The sequence below is a fragment of the Homo sapiens genome, chromosome 5 (genome assembly GCF_000001405.40).
Source record: "Homo sapiens chromosome 5, GRCh38.p14 Primary Assembly".
In the NCBI taxonomy this organism is placed as follows: Eukaryota; Metazoa; Chordata; class Mammalia; order Primates; family Hominidae; genus Homo; species Homo sapiens.
The window spans coordinates 131,423,669-131,441,828 of record NC_000005.10 but is presented as its reverse complement, the minus strand read 5'-3'; the positions used below and the strand labels follow the sequence as shown (position 1 = coordinate 131,441,828).

The window sequence follows — 18,160 nt, the reverse complement described above, 5'->3', positions numbered from 1 at the left end:
TTAGCCTTTTAGATGAGAACCTAGATTAGATTTGGTTCCTAGCATGATTACTTAGGCTGTACATTATATGTAGTATATGTTTAGTAGAACTTTGTTCATTTAATTTGTTATTGTTTGAGATACAAAGTTGAATAAGAAATTCCCCCTCCTTGACCAGATTTTCAGTCTGGTGATGTAGACACTCACACAGGTAACTTCAATATAATGTGTCTTCTTCTTATGCCAGGGGTATATGCAGAACATATAAAAGAACAAAACAAGAGCTTTTAACTTAGACAGAGGTAAGATAGGGCTTCAGAAGAAGGCTTTTTGGAAATAACATCTAAGCAGCCTAAAAGATTGGTGACGAAGAAGATAATTAGGCAAAAGTTCCAGAGAAGTTGCTTCAGGCTGAGGAAACAGCTTGGTATGTGCAAGAAACTACAAGCACTTTGCTGACGCTGAGTGGAAATTGCATGCAGTGTTGACAGACAATAATAATTAAAGCTGACACTTGGAGAGCACTTACTGGTGCCAGGCATGGTTCAAATTGTGCTTTACTAATTTTATATATCAGTCTTCATAGTAATGCCACAAGATAAGTGGTATTTTACCCTCATTCTACAAAGGAAGCATAGAGGCTAAAGGAAGGCTGACTGGCTTTAAATCTTTGCCTTTAACCACTGTACTAAACAGCTTCCAAGATGCAGAGAATGAAGACAGGTATGCTGAAATTACAATGTGCCATGCCAAAGGAAAAAGTTAACATTGAGAAGCCATTGAAGAGATTTGAACAAGAGAAGGTTACGGTTCAAATTATGTTTGAGAAGGACTGTAGTGAGGATCACAGCAGGACTGGAGATAGAGAGCTCAGATGGAAAGCTGGTCTAACAGTTAACTGGAAGTTGCCCAGGGCCTGGACTAGTTTGGTGGCTATGGAAATGAAGAGAGAATTGGGTGCAGAATTGGTGAAGTTGATAAATTTGTTGGTAGGAGTGAGAGAGGGACAAAGTTAGCTCTGGTTTTTTTACTTGAATATCACCACTTGAGAGGAAGCATTACTTATACTATGTAGCTTCCTTTCTTTCTTTTTTTTTTTTTTTTTTTTTTTTGAGACAGAGTCTCCCTCTGTCGCCCAGGCTGGAGTGCAGTGGTGCGATCTTGGCTCACTGAAACCTCCGTTTCCCAGGTTCAAGCAATTCTTATGCCTCAGCCTCCTGAGTAGCTGGGATTACAGGTGCATGCCACCACACCTGGCTAGTTTTTGTATTTTTAGTAGAGATGGGGTTTCACCATGGTGGCCAGGCTGGTCTCGAACTCCTGACTTCAGGTGATCCACCCACCTCAGCCTCCCAAAGTGCTGGGATTACAGGCGTGAGCCACCATACCTGGCCACTTACTTTATGTTTTAAGAACAGTGTCTATAGCTCTCTGACATTTCTTAGAGAAGATGAATGTAAAAACGTCAATATATTGAAAGCATTGCTAAGTTTGAGGTACACTAAACAGACCAGACATTGGACAAGGGTAATGATAGGACTGTAAGGAATCGTTCCACTGTGCTGCATACTATTTTTCTATACATTCATGATTTTTTCTGTTGTTTACTTCTCTCCTGTAGTGTGAATTTAGTGCTCTTGAAAAGGGCTGGACTGGCAGCCCTGCAGCCTCTTCCCGTATACCCACAGCACAGATGCACCACAGGTAGTGACAGTGCCAACATCCCCACACTGCCCCTGCCACATGCGTCGCCCCGACTTGGAGAGGCCACCTCTAGAGGGGAGGGAAGAGTTTGAATCCATGCCTTCTTTTTGAAGATTTCAAATCACTGTGTCAATTGTGGGAGGTGGGGCATAGCACTCAGACTGTTAAATTGATTTCCCTTATACCACAAAGTGCAGACAAACTAATATAATCTGGTCCATGCTGACCAGCTGAATTTGAATGAATAACCTAGAGGTGAGAATCTCTGTATGCCATTACCCAGTCATTTAGTCCCTGTTTGTCATTTACACATTTCAGTTGACTACACTAGCCATTGTGCATCATAGTGTTAGTTATGTAGTGATTTAGGCAACTATAGACATTTTAATTGTGAAACGATGCTTATTTGCATCTTTGGTTTTATTTTTAGATACAAGTTTACCTCAGAAAGTTTTAGGAACAACTGAAGAAATAAGTGGTAAGAAGCATACAGAAGACACTATTTCTGTGGCGTCATCTTTACATTCTAGTCCTCCTGCATCTCCTCAAGGCTCCCCTCACAAAGGTAAGACAAAACATTTCAAACTAGTTCTTGTTAAACTAAACAATACTTTATAGCACATATTTTGCTTTTCAATCTATAGCAATAATTATAAATCATTAAGAAAAGCATAACTCCTAATGCTTTTTGAACTTTGATGTTTTGTATTGCATTATTCAGATGCTTTTTAGATATTATGTGTCATGTAACTAGGACTCCAGTATTCAAAGTGTGGTCCTAAACTTCAACAGACAGCAAGCATGGATAAGAATAAAGGCAGAAGCCATAGTTTTGGTGCAAATTCTTGGTGTTATCATTCCAGTTTCCTATATTTGGACATTTCTATGAAGTGTTTACAAGTAAAAGTTTCTGTAAGAGATTCTTTTTAGGCCAGGCACAGTGGCTCATGCTTATAATACCAGCATTTTGGGAAGCTGAGGCGGGTGGATCACTTGAGCCCAGGAGTTGGAGACCAGCCAGGGCAACATGATGAGACCCCAACTCTACAAACAATTTAAAACTTAGGCATGGTGGTGTGCCTGTAGTCCCAGCTACCCGGGAGACTGAGGTGAGAGGATCGCTTGAGCCTGGGAGGCAGAGGTTGCAGTGAGCTGTGATCATGCCACTGTACTTCAACCTGGGCAACACAGCAAGACCCTGTCTCAAAAAAAAGAAAGAAACTGTTTTTAACCAACTATAAGATTTAGGAAAACAAAAATTAGGAAAACAAATATGCTTTTCCTTTTTTAGTAACAGAGTATTACCTTTTTTAAAATTAGGATTTAAAATAACCTGTACTCTTGTGGATTTTTTACTTATACAGAATCTCATGAGGTAAAAAACTGAAATTCTTGTTCATTTACGTGTTTTCATAATTCAGACTGGAGCATTTCTTTTCTTGGCTAGCCTGGGCAGTGTGCAGCAGATGCCATTTCATGTTAGCTGCACATGTAGCATTCTAAATATGGTGTGTATTTCTTATATTGACCCTTCACACTCTGTGTGTACCCTGGAAAGAAAGGGGATTTAGTCCTGGCATCTTCTTCACAGATGTAAAAGAATTACATATTTAAATAATCACACCAGAGGATGGTACATGGTCAGAGGGAAGACAAGCTTATTATAATAATTCTAACAGGAGAGAGAAGCTTCCAGAGCTTGCTTCAGCTTCCAGGCTCTAAGTTTCATCTCACTCTGCAGAGCTCTTTCTTATTTTTGCCACCTATGTGGCAATTATGTACAGTGATGTCAGACCTGAGTTTGAACCGTGATTCTGTCCTCCACTGTAGCTGTGTTACTACAAGTAATTTATTTATACGGTCAGGTTTCCTCTCTGTAAGATGGGAAAAAGACCATCTAGGCCAAAGCAGGCGGATCGCCTGAGGTCAGGAGTTCAACACTAGCCTGGCCAAGATGGTGAAACCCATCTCTATTAAAAATACAAAAAAATTAGCCAGGGGTAGTGGCACATGCCTGTAGTCCCAGCTACTCAGGAGGCCGAGGCAGGAGAATCACTTGAACCAAGGAGGCGGAGGTTGCAGTGAGCCAAGATCATGCTATTGCACCCCAACTAGTTTGGTGGCTATGGAAACGAAGAAAGAATTGGATGCAGAATTGTTGCCTAACCTGGGTGACAAGAGCAAAACTCCATCTCAAAAAAAAAAGAGGAAAAGAAAAAGACCATCTATTTTAACAGCCTCTTATGTGGTTTAAATGAAATAATATTTATAAAGCCTCATGTGTGGTAAGTGTTTAGTGAATTGGAATGTCTCTTTTCTTTCTCTGCGGCCACCTCAGGACACCATAGCTCCATTACTCACTTGCTTTTTTCATCCTCACATAGCTGAGACTGGTTAGATTTTTTTCATTCAGATTTTACTAAAGAAAGCTTAATAAAAATGAAACAGGAGATAAAAACAGTTTGTATAGTAGGTGTATTTATAAAACACAGATTTTGATCCTGTTGTAGCTCATATGTAATTTTGTGTGGCACACAGACCTATGTCATCACTTTCCTTGTCTGTATGGTCCTATCCAATGCGCCCCTTACCAGATCTTGCGATGTAGGATAAGCCGCAGTGCCTCCAGTCAGACAGATGGTCCAAATGAACAGTATCCATATGCTCCTAATGCTCGTTCAGGAACACCTTTACACTCCTTACCCCTGTTAGAGGCTGCTCAGTGGTCCATCCCATTATAGCTGATTTGGTATTTTATGCCTGAATGTGACTTCTGGAAAGTGGTATTAGAAACAGGAATTCCTCCATTGCTCTTATTCCCAACAAAATCTACACTCAACACTCGAATAGAGAAGTATTTTCTCCCTTTGTGAGAAAATTGTAGCCAACAATTGAACACCATGTTTATAGGTTTGTGAGCTTCTCGTAGTAATGTTTAGAATTCTTAGAAGCCTGAAGAAATTCTTCTCTTCAAAACTGTTTCAGCTTGTTCTTGCATGTGTACTATCAAAACCCCAACCAAGTATGATCCTTCTATTTTTGTAGACAGGTTTTTGCCAGTAACCTATGATTGAACAAAACTGTCATTATGCTCAGAGTAAATTATTAGGATCTGTTCCTGGTTCTTATTAAACTTGGAGATCTGTTCTTTGTTTTCTTATGATTAAGAAAATAAACCTGTCTTCATGTTTTGCATGAGGATAGTTTAAACAAGAACTTTAAAAAAGAAGTCAAAAGACCTTAAACATTATCTACCCTAGTGTTTAAGAAAAGCACTCTCCACCTTGGATCTACAACAGGATCAGAAAATGAACGTTATAAATATACCTATTGTATGTACTATTTATATGTCTTATTTGGTTTTTACTAAGCTTCTTCATAGTAAAATCTACCTTACAATTCTAGACCTACATAGTTACTTTACAGAAATAATTCTAGTTACCTGATATTTTTGTCATATTTTTCCTTATGATTTTACCAGCTTGGCTTCCTTTCAACAGTTTTTTTGTTTTTGTTTTTGTTTTTATTTTTATCACCAGCTTGTGCTGATAAAGGTAATCTTTCTCCTGCATTCTGTCTTGCAATAACTGATGTGTATATGTTTTATATATAAGTAGATTTTTTTCCATGCATTAAAAAATATGTTGCTAGATTTCAATTTTTCAGATATTATCAAGATGTTAGAATTTTTAAATAGTGAAATATTATGTAAACAAGGCTAATTGTGATTGACCATGTCAGGGTTTTTGCATCTCTCCCTCCAGTTGGCAGTATCATATCTGATCACAGCAGCAAGATCAGTGGCCAGAGCTGCCCCGGAATAGGTGGGGCTTACTTGCAAAAGAAAATCCTTCAGATTACCAGGAGCACAGCCAAAAGAACAGACAGTACTGAGAAGGCCACTGAGGAGAATAGAGACAGGACAAGTTGTGAGAACACAACCAGAAAAAGAATGACATCCCCGTTTAGAAGACTTAGGGAAAGAATGCTTTCAAGGGAGAGACTAGTCAACAGCCAAAAAGAGGACACAGATCACAATCAAGCTACAGAAAGCTGTGAGAAAGTGAAGGATGTTGGAAGCAACATCAAAGATGAGAAAGGGAGTGCCATCTTCAATTCAAATAGCCAAGGCAACAGTAACACTTTAAACTGCTTCTATACGCGATTCAAGTCTAAAAGGAGGAAGACACTCTGATGAAGTTCCTTATTTAATTTTAGTGTTAAGTTTGTTTTCAGTTATTAATGTATACATGGCTTAAATTAAACCATTTGTCAAAGCTTAGGCAGACAACTTAGTAAAATACTATTTATAAACACTTGAAAATGCCTCATTTGTACATAAGTTATTTTACTGATGTATTGAGTTAGTAAATTTTATACTCTTGTTTTCTGTAGTTGACTTTATTTCCTACTGTTAGCTGGATCTGTGAGTGAAATATGTAGAGGAGGCTTTTTTATCTTCTACTTTTTACGTATCTTTGATTGGGGGAGAAGGGACTAGTCTAACATAGCAATATCAGAATCATCTGGGAAACTTGTTAAAAAATGCAATTACTGTGTCCCACCCCAGACTTCATAAACTTGAATTGCCAGAAATGGGATCTGGAATGTTTATTTTAATTGGCTTGCCAGGTGGTTCTTAGTATTATTATATTTGAGAAATACTGATCAAATAGACATAAGAATGAAATTATTTTTTAAACAATGAAGCAAGATTATTGTGTAGAGCAATGACTTTTTCTTTTCAAGAAGAAGGTTTTTATTTATTTTTAATTTACTTATTACATCCACTTTCTTGGTCCTCTTAAAAATTGACTAATCAGCTCATGGACATTGACAAATAGCAGTGATCCCAAGTTCAGAGATGTATGATAGACGTCAGAAGACTGGCTTGTCTTGGCTTACCCTGTTCCTGTCCACGTAGGCCAAATATAAATCACACATTTTCTAGGCCTTTTTCTCTTTGAAATAGTTAACGAAACGACTTAATAAGATTACTGTGCAACAAATTATTCCTTAAATGACTTGAGTTATATGTGAATAACTCCAAGATCCATAAACAGAGAAAGACTTGGAACTAAGGATGTTGTCATCCTCTTTCTGCATGAAGATGAGGCCCTGAGAATTCCAGTAACATACCCAAAGCCTGTAATTCTTCCTAATGACATTTCTAGGTATTGGTCCAAAGGTCACATATCTACTAAACCCTACTTTCCTCTGTGAGCAAGAAGATATTTTTTACTTCTTTGAGACCCGTCCCTTGTTGGGATTACTAGGGCATTTTCTTTTTCTTTTATTTCTAAACAAAAATTTGGTTTCTTCCAGTTATCAAAATAGATTATTATGTACATTAGCCATTCTGTTGCAGATTTGTTTTTGGGTCCTTCACCTCAGTGCGTCCCTAGAATACAGAAGAACATCTCTCTAGTTGTCTGCTGTGCAGTAAGTCACAGAACAACATAGAACATGTAGATGCTGTTTTTTTCTATAACACATTATTAAACATGTATCCACTCAGCTGTTTAATATTCTGCAAGGTTGGTGAAGAAAAAGGAAACTAAGTATGACACTAAGTTTAAACCTAAAACAATTTAAAAAACTGAAACAGGCTGGGCATGGTGGCTCATACCTGTAATCCCAGCAATTTGGTAGGCTGAGGCGGGAGGATCGCTTGAGGCCAGGAGTTGAAGACCAGCCTCGGCAACATAATGAGACCTCATTTCTGCAAAAAGTTTAAAAATAACTGGGTGTGGTGGTGCAGACCGTAGTCCCAGCTACTTGGGGCTGAGGCAAGAGGACCACTTGAGCCCAGGAGTTCGAAGCTGCAGTGAGCTATGATCGTGCCATTGCACTATAGCCTGGCAACAGAGCAGGACCCTGTGTCTAAAAAATAAAAATAATCTAAAACAGTGACTCTCAACTCAAGACAAGACTTCTTAGGTGGGATATGCAGAATATATGGGGTAAGTATATATAGTTTGATAAAGCAAAAATGTAGTTCTTTCCCTTGAGTCCTGGACTCCCACCCCTACCCTTACTTCAAGATGGTATTTGGGATTCAGATCAGGTCAAGAAATATTCATATTAATCAAAGGAAGGAGCGTTGGGTTAAAAAGAAGTTGAGAAACCCTAAAGACATGTACTTATTAATATTTGTAATCTTCTTATTTTATTAAATGATTATAGCTGTGGGAGAGCCTGAGAAAGATATACCTTTAAACTAGTTTTCTGAGTAACACTGGACTTTGACTGTCTTTTTCTTGAATGTGTAGTTGTATTGGTGTGGTGTGGATAGTAGGCAAATGGTTATGTAGGGGAATGTGTGGAGAAAATTGGCACCATTATATCTACATAGATGGAAACTAAAATTGCTTCTACTTTGTCTTCTGTTATTTTTGTGGGGTTTTTTTTTTTCATCCTTTCCCCTACTACCCCCACCATATGTTCCCTTTTTTTGTAGTTTGATCAGTGCTCTTTTCTTGTTCAGGTTACACACTTATTCCATCAGCTAAATCTGACAACTTGTCTGACTCCAGCCATAGTGAGATTTCTTCACGGTCCAGCATCGTGAGCAATTGTTCTGTTGACTCCATGTCTGCAGCTCTACAGGATGAACGGTGTTCCTCTCAGGCCCTGGCAGTCCCTGAATCCACTGGGGCATTGGAAAAGACAGAGCACGCTTCAGGGATAGGAGATCATAGTCAACATGGCCCTGGGTAAGCATCATTGTCTGTGTTCATAACACAAAACCCAAGCCAAGTGGCCACTGCAAGGAGTGCTCCCCACCTTGACCTTGGACCTCCCATGGGGTAATTGCAGAGTTATCCATAAAAGAATATGTGGGCCAAGCACATATTCTCTATTCTGAATATGTAAATAAGCACTATGTTGAAAGATGTATGGGTGTTCATTTTTAAAGTGTTACTAAATTCAAGTAACTTTTTATCATTATGTATCTTTCCAGTCAGAACTCAAAGTGCATCTGCTACTTATATAGGGGAGATAATTTTTGAAATTCTGGCTATAGGTTAATCAAAAAGGTTGTGTTTTGGAAAGTGCCTCGAGTGCTGTGCACATTGTAGACAGGTTGGGAGAGTAGGACTAGCCCTTGATCTCTGTCCTCTGAAAGTGTAATTTGGGGAGTAAGAATAATCACCTAGCAAAGGTTAATTAAAAAAAAAAATCAACTCTAAATTTCTATTTAGAATCAAGCAACGTGGAAATCTTTGAGAAAGTTTATTCTAACTGATAAATATTGTGAAATCTGGTCTACTTTAATATGAAAAATTTAAGATAAATTATTACCACATTTATAAAGATTTCTAAACTAGGATCTCTACACCAGAGGTCAGCAAATGTTTTCTATAAAAGTTACATAGTAAACATTTTAGACTTCACAGGCCATAAGGCCTCTGTCACAACTACTCTGCTATTACACCAGAATAGCCATAGACAACACATAAACAAATGGCATGACTGTGTCCCAGTAAAACTTTTTTTTTTTTTTAAGGCGGAGTCTCGCTCTGTGAGACAGAGTGTCACTCTTGTTGCCCAGGCTGGAGTGCACTGGCGCGATCTCGGCTCACTGCAAGCTCCGCCTCCTGGGTTCACGCTGTTCTCCTGCCTCAGCCTCCCGAGTAGCTGGGACTACAGGCGCCCACCACCACGCCCGGCTAATTTTTTGTATTTTTAGTAGAGACAGGGTTTCACCATGTTAGCCAGGATGGTCTCGATCTCCTGACCTCGTGATCCGCCCGCCTCGGCCTCCCAAAGTGCTGGGATTACAGGCGTGAGCCACCACGCCCAGCCAAAACTTTATTTACAAAAACGAGCAAAGAGACCACCAGATTTGGCCCTGGGCTGTAGTTTGCTACCCCCTGCACTATACTGTAAATGAGGGGTTTACAAACTTTTTTTTGTGAAGGGCTGGGTAGTAAATATTTTCGCCTCTGCAATCTACATATAGTCTCTGTCACAAATTCTTCTGGTTTGGTTTTGTTTTCTTTTCTTTTTTAACCTTTTAAAAGGTTAAAAAACAGAACTATTCTTTGCTCCAGACCATACAAAAATAGGCTGTTGGCTAAATTTGGCCCATGAGCTTTAGTTTGGGGACCCCTGCTATAAATTATTCATTTCATGGGTAATTGGGGAAGTTGCTGTTTACTTGGCACTGTACTGGGCTAACCTCAGAGGTACGTTGAAAAATAAAACATGATTCTTCAAGTTGGGAACTCTTAATTCTGTATGCATGGACGCAGTAGTCTAATATTGTGATGACCAAAAATGAATATGTATACTTAACCTTATTCATTTCAACTCTCATCTTTACATTTTCATTTAAAATCAGTTCAAGAAAAATACTTGCCAGGCATACCTCTGGTCCATCCCAGCTGCTGGGGAGGCTGAGGCGGGAGGATCACTTGAGCCCAGGAGTTAAAAGCTGCAGTGCATCATGATCGTGCCTGTAAATAACCACTGCACTCTGGTCTGGGCAACAGAGTGACACCCTGTCTCGAAAAAAAAAAAAATATCTAACATTTTAAAATTTAAAAAGAAAAATTCTAAGGAAATTTTGCTAAGCATTAGAGTTTCTTTACTGTGTCTTCTGAGTGTTAACTAAATACTTACAAGGAATATAGTGATGAATGATGATAATATTGTTTTCCTCACGATGTTATTTGGCATGAACACTTGTGGTACGTGCTCTGTAGTTTCTCACAGGCAATAATAACTTGAAACAGAGAGAAGATAGTTTTTCTGGCAAGCCTTCTAATTGTACGTTATCTCCAATTTTAGGTGGACACTCTTGAAGCCATCTCTAATCAAGTGTTTAGCTGTCTCATCGTCTGTGAGCAATGAAGAGATTTCTCAAGAGCATATCATTATAGAAGCAGCTGACAGTGGTCGTGGAAGTTGGACTTCGTGTTCAAGCAGCTCCCATGACAACTTCCAAAGCCTTCCAAACCCAAAAAGCTGGGATTTTTTGAACTCTTACAGACATACCCATTTGGATGACCCCATTGCTGAAGTTGAACCCACTGACTCTGAGCCCTATTCCTGTTCTAAAAGCTGCTCTAGAACTTGTGGGCAGTGTAAAGGAAGCCTAGAGAGAAAGAGTTGGACCTCCTCCAGTTCTCTGTCTGACACGTATGAACCAAACTATGGGACAGTTAAACAGAGAGTATTGGAGAGCACCCCAGCTGAGTCATCTGAAGGCTTGGACCCCAAGGATGCCACTGACCCAGTTTATAAAACTGTCACTTCAAGTACAGAAAAGGGCTTGATTGGTAAGTTGTGTTTTTGTTGTCTGTGGCATTTAGAGATTAAGTAGTCAAAAAATGGCATTGGGATATCTTGGCCCTGGATTTTATCGTCGCAAAAATTCATTCTCTAACAACCTTTCTTTCCTTCACAAACAAACAAGTTATTTCCCAAAAATTCATGGTTTCTCAAAGACTTTGGAGCAGCTATTCAACCCCATTAAAATGAAAAGTCTGATGTGAAGGTATTTAATTAGAGGGACAAGTTTGTTTGTCTTTTGTTTTTAAGTTCTTTTTGGTTTTATTGAGGAATATCATCGCATTAGTGTGCAATAGTAGTAAAGGGATTATTCTCTTTATCACCTCATAAATTGTTTGGACCACAATTGGTATGCATACGTGGTAGAAACATTGAATCTGCTATTGATTTTAGGTCGTAACAGTGAGAGAAAATGCAATCAGGAAGTCCAGAACATTTTTCAGTATACTCTCTTGGTGTACATCATGAGTGTGCCAACTCCTGTTTGTGAATTCCATTCCAAGCTTTCTTAGTAAACTTTTTTTTTTAGTATTTGGCCATCAAATACTTTTTAAAAATTTCTTTCCTAAACTATATAAATACGTGGATATAAAACTGCTTTTCTACTTATATGGAATGACTCTACTTTGAATTAATATCATAATCAACTGTTAAATTTATGCAACAGTCATGGTGTCGCATTTAACTACTAAAAATGTGAAGGTGAAATGTGCTGATTTTATAGTTACTTGTCAAATTGCATTATAGGTTGGGTTTTTAGCTCATTCATTTTTTTCCAACTTTTTTTTTTTTTTTTGAGATGGACTCTTGCTGTATTGCCCAGGCTGGAGTGCAGTGGCATGACCTCGGCTCACTGCAACCTTCGCCTGCCAGGTTCAAGCAATTCTCCTCTCTCAGCCTCCCAAGTAGCTGGGATTACAGGTGCCTGCCACCATGCCCAGCTAATTTTTTTATTTTTAGTAGAGATGGGGCTTCATGTTGGCCAGGCTGGTCTCAAACTTCTCACCTCAGGTGATCCACCCACTTCGGCCTCCAAAGTGCTGGGATTACAGGCGTGAACCACCGCACCTGGCCAGAAGTAAAGTTCTTGAAGGAATTAGTTCCTCCGTACCAGCAAAGTTAAAGTTTATATGCTAGGACTGAGAACTAATCTGCCCAGGAGTGCCAGAAAACATTGGTTCATGTCTCAGAGAGAAGGTGAAACAGCCCTTAAACAGATGGCCCAAATGTCATTTCTATGTAAAGTCTCCCAGTTTACAGAGAATCGGTGTGTAGGGTGAACTTTTAAATGTTTCTGATATCTTTAGGGCTGGTGTGACTTCAGGAGTTGTCATGTACTTCTGTGATATGGGGGCTGAATTGCAGAAGGAAGCTTGTCATCAGTGTCATCTCCTTCAACTCTCTCGTTCTATTTAATGTTTACAGGACTTAATATAGTTGTTTATGTATTTTAAAAAGAGGTTTGTTTATTAAACTTTTAAAAAATGTTTTTGATCTGCCATCATTCAAGTTTATTCATTTTGTCTATTTTTAAGTTGTATTTTGTCATTGTAATAAGTTTGTGGGGTGGTTTCTTTTTTTTTCCATTTCTTTTTCATTAACATTTTCATTGCTTATTTTTCATGCCAGTGTACTGTGTCACCTCACCCAAGAAGGACGATAGGTATAGGGAGCCACCTCCCACTCCTCCAGGATATTTGGGGATTTCTTTAGCGGACCTAAAGGAAGGACCCCACACACACCTAAAACCTCCAGATTATAGTGTGGCAGTGCAGAGGTCAAAGATGATGCATAACAGCCTCTCTAGACTGCCACCAGCTTCTCTCAGTAGCAACCTCGTGGCCTGTGTTCCATCGAAGATTGTAACTCAGCCTCAGAGGCATAATTTGCAGCCATTCCATCCTAAACTAGGAGATGTGACTGATGCAGATAGCGAAGCAGATGGTATGTTGACAAGCTCTCTTAAAGGCTCTTAAATGAATTGCTGAACACATTAAATGGTCTTTACTTTGGTATTTTATGGTAATTAGTAATTGTTTCTTTAAATGCCTTGAATCTCTGTTAAAAAGTAAGAAGTTCCTGCCGGCAGGGTGCAGTGGCTCACACCTGTAATCCCAGCACTTTGGGAGGCTGAGGCGGGCGAATCACCTGAGGTCGGGAGTTCCTGACCAGCCTGTCCAACATGGAGAAACCCCGTCTCTACTAAAAAAATACAAAATCAGCCAGGCATTATGGCGCATGCCTGTAATCCCAGCTACTCGGGAGGCTGAGGCAGGAGAATTGCTTGAACCTGGGAGGCAGAGATTGCAGTGAGCCAAGATCGCACCATTGCACTCCAGCCTGGACAACAAGAACAAAACTCTGTCTCCAAAAAAAAAAAAAAAGTTCCTAAATATAGTATGGGGGAGTGTTTTGGTTTTGTTTTATTTTTCAAGATAGGGTCTAACTCTGTTGCCCAAGCTTAGAGTGCAGTGGCACAATAATGACTCACTACAGCCTCAGACTCCTGGGCTCAAGCAGTCCTCCCAACTCAGCCTCCCAAGTAGCTGGGACTACAGGTGCACACCAGCATGCCTGGCTCATTGTTAAATTTTTCCTTTGTAGAGACAGGGTCTCACTATATTGACCAGGCTGGTTTTGAACTCCTGGCCTGAAGCAGTCCTCCCACCCCAGCCTCCGAAAGTGTTGGGATTATAGGTGTGAGCCACCACACCCAGCCAATGGTGTGGGTTGTTTGTTTGTTGAGACAAGGTCTTGCTGTGTCACTCAGGCTGGAGTGCAGTGGCATGATCGTGGCTCACTGCAGCCTCAACTTCCTGGTCTCAGGTAATTCTCCCTCCTCAGCCTCCCAAGTAGGTGGGACTACAGGCACACACCACCACACCCAGCTAATTTTTTGTATTTGAGACAGCATTTTACCATGTTGCCCAGGCTGGTCTTGAACTCCTGGACTCAAGCAATCTGCCAGCCTCAGTCTCCCACAAAGTTGGGGTTATGGGTGTGAGCCACTGTACCCCGCACTGATGGTGTATTTTTTAAATGAAATGGGCAAGCTGCCTATTTCTGTGTGCCTAGTACCCTGTGGCTCAAATGGAATATTCTTATCTTTGATGAAACAGTGGCTCAATCTAATGGGATACTTTTAACATTAATGGAATTGTATTTTACCTTAATGCATGGAAACTTGAAACTGTGTTTCAAATGCCAAATTATCTGAAATGATTCTATTGATATAGTTCCTTTTATTAGCAAAAGTCTTGACTGACTTTGTACCTGTGCCAATAGTTTGAGAAATGATTGTTTTATTGAAAATAAATGAAAATTTATGCTTTTAAACAAGAGTAATAAAATGATTAAAAACCATGAAATTCCAGTTTATTGTCAACCTTCAATGTGATCAGAAATCATAGGTATTATTATAATAAAATCTGGGCCTCGATGCAATGTTTGAGAGGATTTCTTTGTTGACATTGATTTTCTAAATAGATAACTAGATTATTAGGATCTCATTAATATGCTGATCTGCCAGTTAATTATATATTTTTTATTTTCAGAAAATGAACAAGTTTCAGCAGTCTAGCCTTTGGATGACCTATTTGAAAACCACTGAAAGTCGTGGAGGAATGGGCAAGAACCACCTCATGATTCTGCAGGCCATTGCTAACGAACAGCTCATTGCTACAACCAGTCCAGAGGTTTTATTCCCTCTACTCCGAGCAATGAAATAGACCTGAGTTATGCTTCCTTTCATTTAATTTCTGCAGATAAATAGTTTCCTGAGCAATGGATGCTATGCCTGGATACCAGTCTCCACTTTGCACGCCGGAACTGCCTTGGGACCACAGTTACAGAAAAAATGTAAACTCAGAGTGATCCTTGTGTATATTGCTATAGATTTTTCTTTAACAAGCTATTTTAAAGATAATGGCATTATTATTTCCAAGCCATAGCTTGGGCTGAAGGACAAATTGAAATTGTCTGCCAATACCAAGGATATTCTTGTATATTTGAAAAATAACTTATTATTTGAATTGTTGTGGTTTTGTTTGTATTTGAGAGCTCTTGTTAGCTGATATTCATGTTTGAGGTCATAAAATTGTCTCTGGTCTGACCAAACAGAAGTCATCTTTACAGAGGTGATATGCTTGATCTACACAGAGATGTGACTTGATCTGTAGCACCAATGCAATGTAGGTCTCAGTTTGAGAGAAATAGGAAGCCCTTTGCAGTTGAGGTGTTAGGAACCTGCTGGTCATGGTGTGGAAGGCCAAATGAAGCTGCCACAGGGTTTCTTGTCAGTCCTTTGGGAAATGGGAGGGAGTAGTTTGGGGAGGAGGGTGGGAACCCTAATTTCCACAGAATGAAATTTTGATGTTAAATGACATGTATACAAATTCTTCCTTAAGTGAAAGTTATGCTGCATCGAATTGTAACTGAAAGTATAGATCCAACAAATAGAGACTGGGTTCTAGAGAGTTCTGGTCTATAGAAACCCAAAACTAAAATCTCTCATAACTCAAGTATGGAATACTTTTTTTAAAGAAATTCTTATCATGGGTGTTGTAATAATGAAGACGAATTTGACTTTATGCAGTGTTCTGCAGCATGCCTCCCCCACATCTCATAGCACCAGGTTGTGTCTGACCTGACATACCCTGCAGCTCTCAGCTGGCTGCAGTAACATTTTGTGGGAGAAAGAGGAGCTGGAGTTACAGAAATGATTGTCTCTTGGTTCTCAGTTTTTAGCCCTTGAGAGGACATACTTTTCCAGCCTCATGGGTATGGCACTCTTAATTAAAATTTCAGTGACTGTTTACTGGATGAGGCAGATTTTTCACATTTTTGCAAATTAAATATATTTTATATATATTAAGTTTAATTTTTTCAGTTTTTTTAATGTAAAAGCAAGTGAAATTTTAATAAACTTCTGTAATTACCAAAAAAAAAAAAAAAAAAAAAGCCAAAGCCATTAACGTGCACTACCCAGATCAACTTGGAGCCAAAAGGGGTTTACTTCTGAATGGCTGTCCGTATGTGTCCACATAGGATTTAGTTGGTTTGTGGCCTCCTTTATAGAAATGTGTTGTCTTTCCCTAGCTGTCTCTGCTGTCTGTCTTCCTGCATATCCCCCTTCATTTTAAAATCATGAATCAGTTGTAAGTGGTAAATGGTAGTAGTTCATCTTTCCCATCAACATGATTGTCTCTTTATTTTAGGAATAATAGCATTTCAAAAATTCCTGTGGTAAAGAAACATTAATCTGAAACTTAAGCCTTAGAAATTAATCGCAGGTATGATAGAATGAGGCTTGGTGGTTCCATAGCTTTCTTGGTCCTTTGAAATGGGAAATAACCTGAACCAAAAATCCTAGTTTGAAAGTTACACTTCAGTGATTTGGCCTATAAACAGTGGTCCTATGATTATACATTTTTTCCTTCACTGATTTGCATAATTTTGTTTTCATGGCCACAGCAAAACAATGTGAAATATATTTTTGCTATACCCACTTTTTTTATCAAATTCAGATGTCTACTCTCACCATTTTATATTCATTTCCCCAGAAAAATGTGCTGTTTTCATAATGTCTTTATTTAGCAGGTCTTTCAAACCAAATGGAAGCCTTACCTGTCTTTGTCCTTAATAGTGTAAATATCTTGCACAGAGTGTTGAGGCCTATGGTTTTGGACTTGCACCTTACAGCTGCCTTTGTTTTATCTATCTAGCTTTAACTGTGAGTGTTCAGATCAGCTGATCACATTGATCAGGAGCCAAAGCCAAATGCTTTGTAGTTTGTTATGTATGTATCCCTTAAAAAATCATGAGGTTTTGATTTTTATATTTTAACTAAGGGTACATTCCTGCCTTCTCTTAGTTTGTCATATGACTAGAACAAGAGAAGTCTTAAGCTGCATTTACTCCAATTCCAGATCTCCATTTGTTTTTGTTTTATAAATTTATAATCTTAATGAAGAGACTAGTGCCCTCTCTTCCTGCCACAACTCTCAATCTGCCAAGACTGTTGAAGCAGTTAACGCTCAGTGCAAACTTTTGCCAAATAGTAAGTTTCAACAAAATATCTTTATAGTGAAAGATTTTGAGAATTAGTAAATCCAGTACATGATTCCATAAAAGCTTATTAAAGTTAATAATTCTAATTTACTCCAAATGATTACTTTCAATATGATCTTTGGGGAGAAAAAGCCTTTAGTGAATTTTCTTGAGGGTGATAAATCACATCATTGCGATCTATATCACCTCCTTGAGAATCTCTCCCAGGCTGAAAATGTGATGGTAATCATGGGTGTTTTTAAGAACAAATCTAATTTTTATCAAGTGTTCTTTCCTCTACAAAAAAGGAAGGAGGAGAAAAAGCTTCCTTAAAACTGATTATTTTGATTCAATTTTAAGTTTCTAAAAAAGGTGATATTAAAGTATATGTATTCCTTCAGCATTACCTTAAAGGCTAGAAAAACGGGATAAATCTTCAGAAAAGTGTCAAAAGTGTCACAGTACATGTTCAAATTTAAACTTGAATCCTGGTTCATCTTTGACTTTTGTTGTGCATTTTTAATGCTTCTTTATTTTTGATACACAGAATGCAGTTGAACTTGATCTTTTAAAATTGAGACATGTAAGCTAATCAGCAAAAGACAGAAACAAAACTGCACATCTGTAATAATCAGATAGCAATTCTACTGCACAATTCATTGATTGTAAGGTATCCTGTAACAAGCAATGTTTGTCTCCTATTTTTTGATACCTCTTAAACTTATGTCTTTTAGAAAGACAGTGCCTCTGTATGCTTTTTGTATTTTTACTGAGTGTAAATATTTGTTATATTTTTGGTTAAGAGAATGTAAAAATACCATTTATTATTATCATATCTACTAATACATTGGTGGAATCAATAAAGAATCTACATTAATCTTCTCTGTACTTAATTATAAATGTATGGAACTGATGAAATAATTACAAACTTAGTCATTCGAGAGTGCCAGTCTGGGACCTGTGTTGGTGTGAAGGCCTTATTTTTTAACTATCCAGAAAAATTGGAGTGGTCCATTTGTTGTTGGTTATGTCAAATCTGTGAAACACCATAGCTATTGTTTAGGTTTAAAAAATTGTGTTTGATGGCATACCAAGTTAACAGTGGCTTAAACTCAATTGGGGCTTGTCT

General features: G+C 38.5%; 1 protein-coding gene across 5 annotated transcripts in view; it reads left to right on the top strand.

Annotated features, from left to right (window-relative positions):
* Positions 1-17,908, top strand: part of RAPGEF6 (Rap guanine nucleotide exchange factor 6) — a 211,309-nt gene extending 193,401 nt beyond the window's left edge. For 2 of the 5 annotated variants that reach the window (NM_016340.6, NM_001164386.2), the window contains 5 exons: positions 2,114-2,248; positions 8,171-8,399; positions 10,480-10,970; positions 12,613-12,927; positions 14,538-17,908. In NM_016340.6, the coding sequence (NP_057424.3) occupies positions 2,114-2,248; positions 8,171-8,399; positions 10,480-10,970; positions 12,613-12,927; positions 14,538-14,563 (1,196 nt within the window). In that variant the 3' untranslated portion in view covers positions 14,564-17,908. Of the gene's footprint in view, positions 1-2,113; positions 2,249-5,447; positions 6,069-8,170; positions 8,400-10,479; positions 10,971-12,612; positions 12,928-14,537 lie in introns of those variants that run through there. The other 3 variants (NM_001164388.2, NM_001164387.2, NM_001164389.2) reach the window with 2 other exon arrangements.
* The last annotated feature ends 252 nt before the right edge of the window (positions 17,909-18,160 follow it).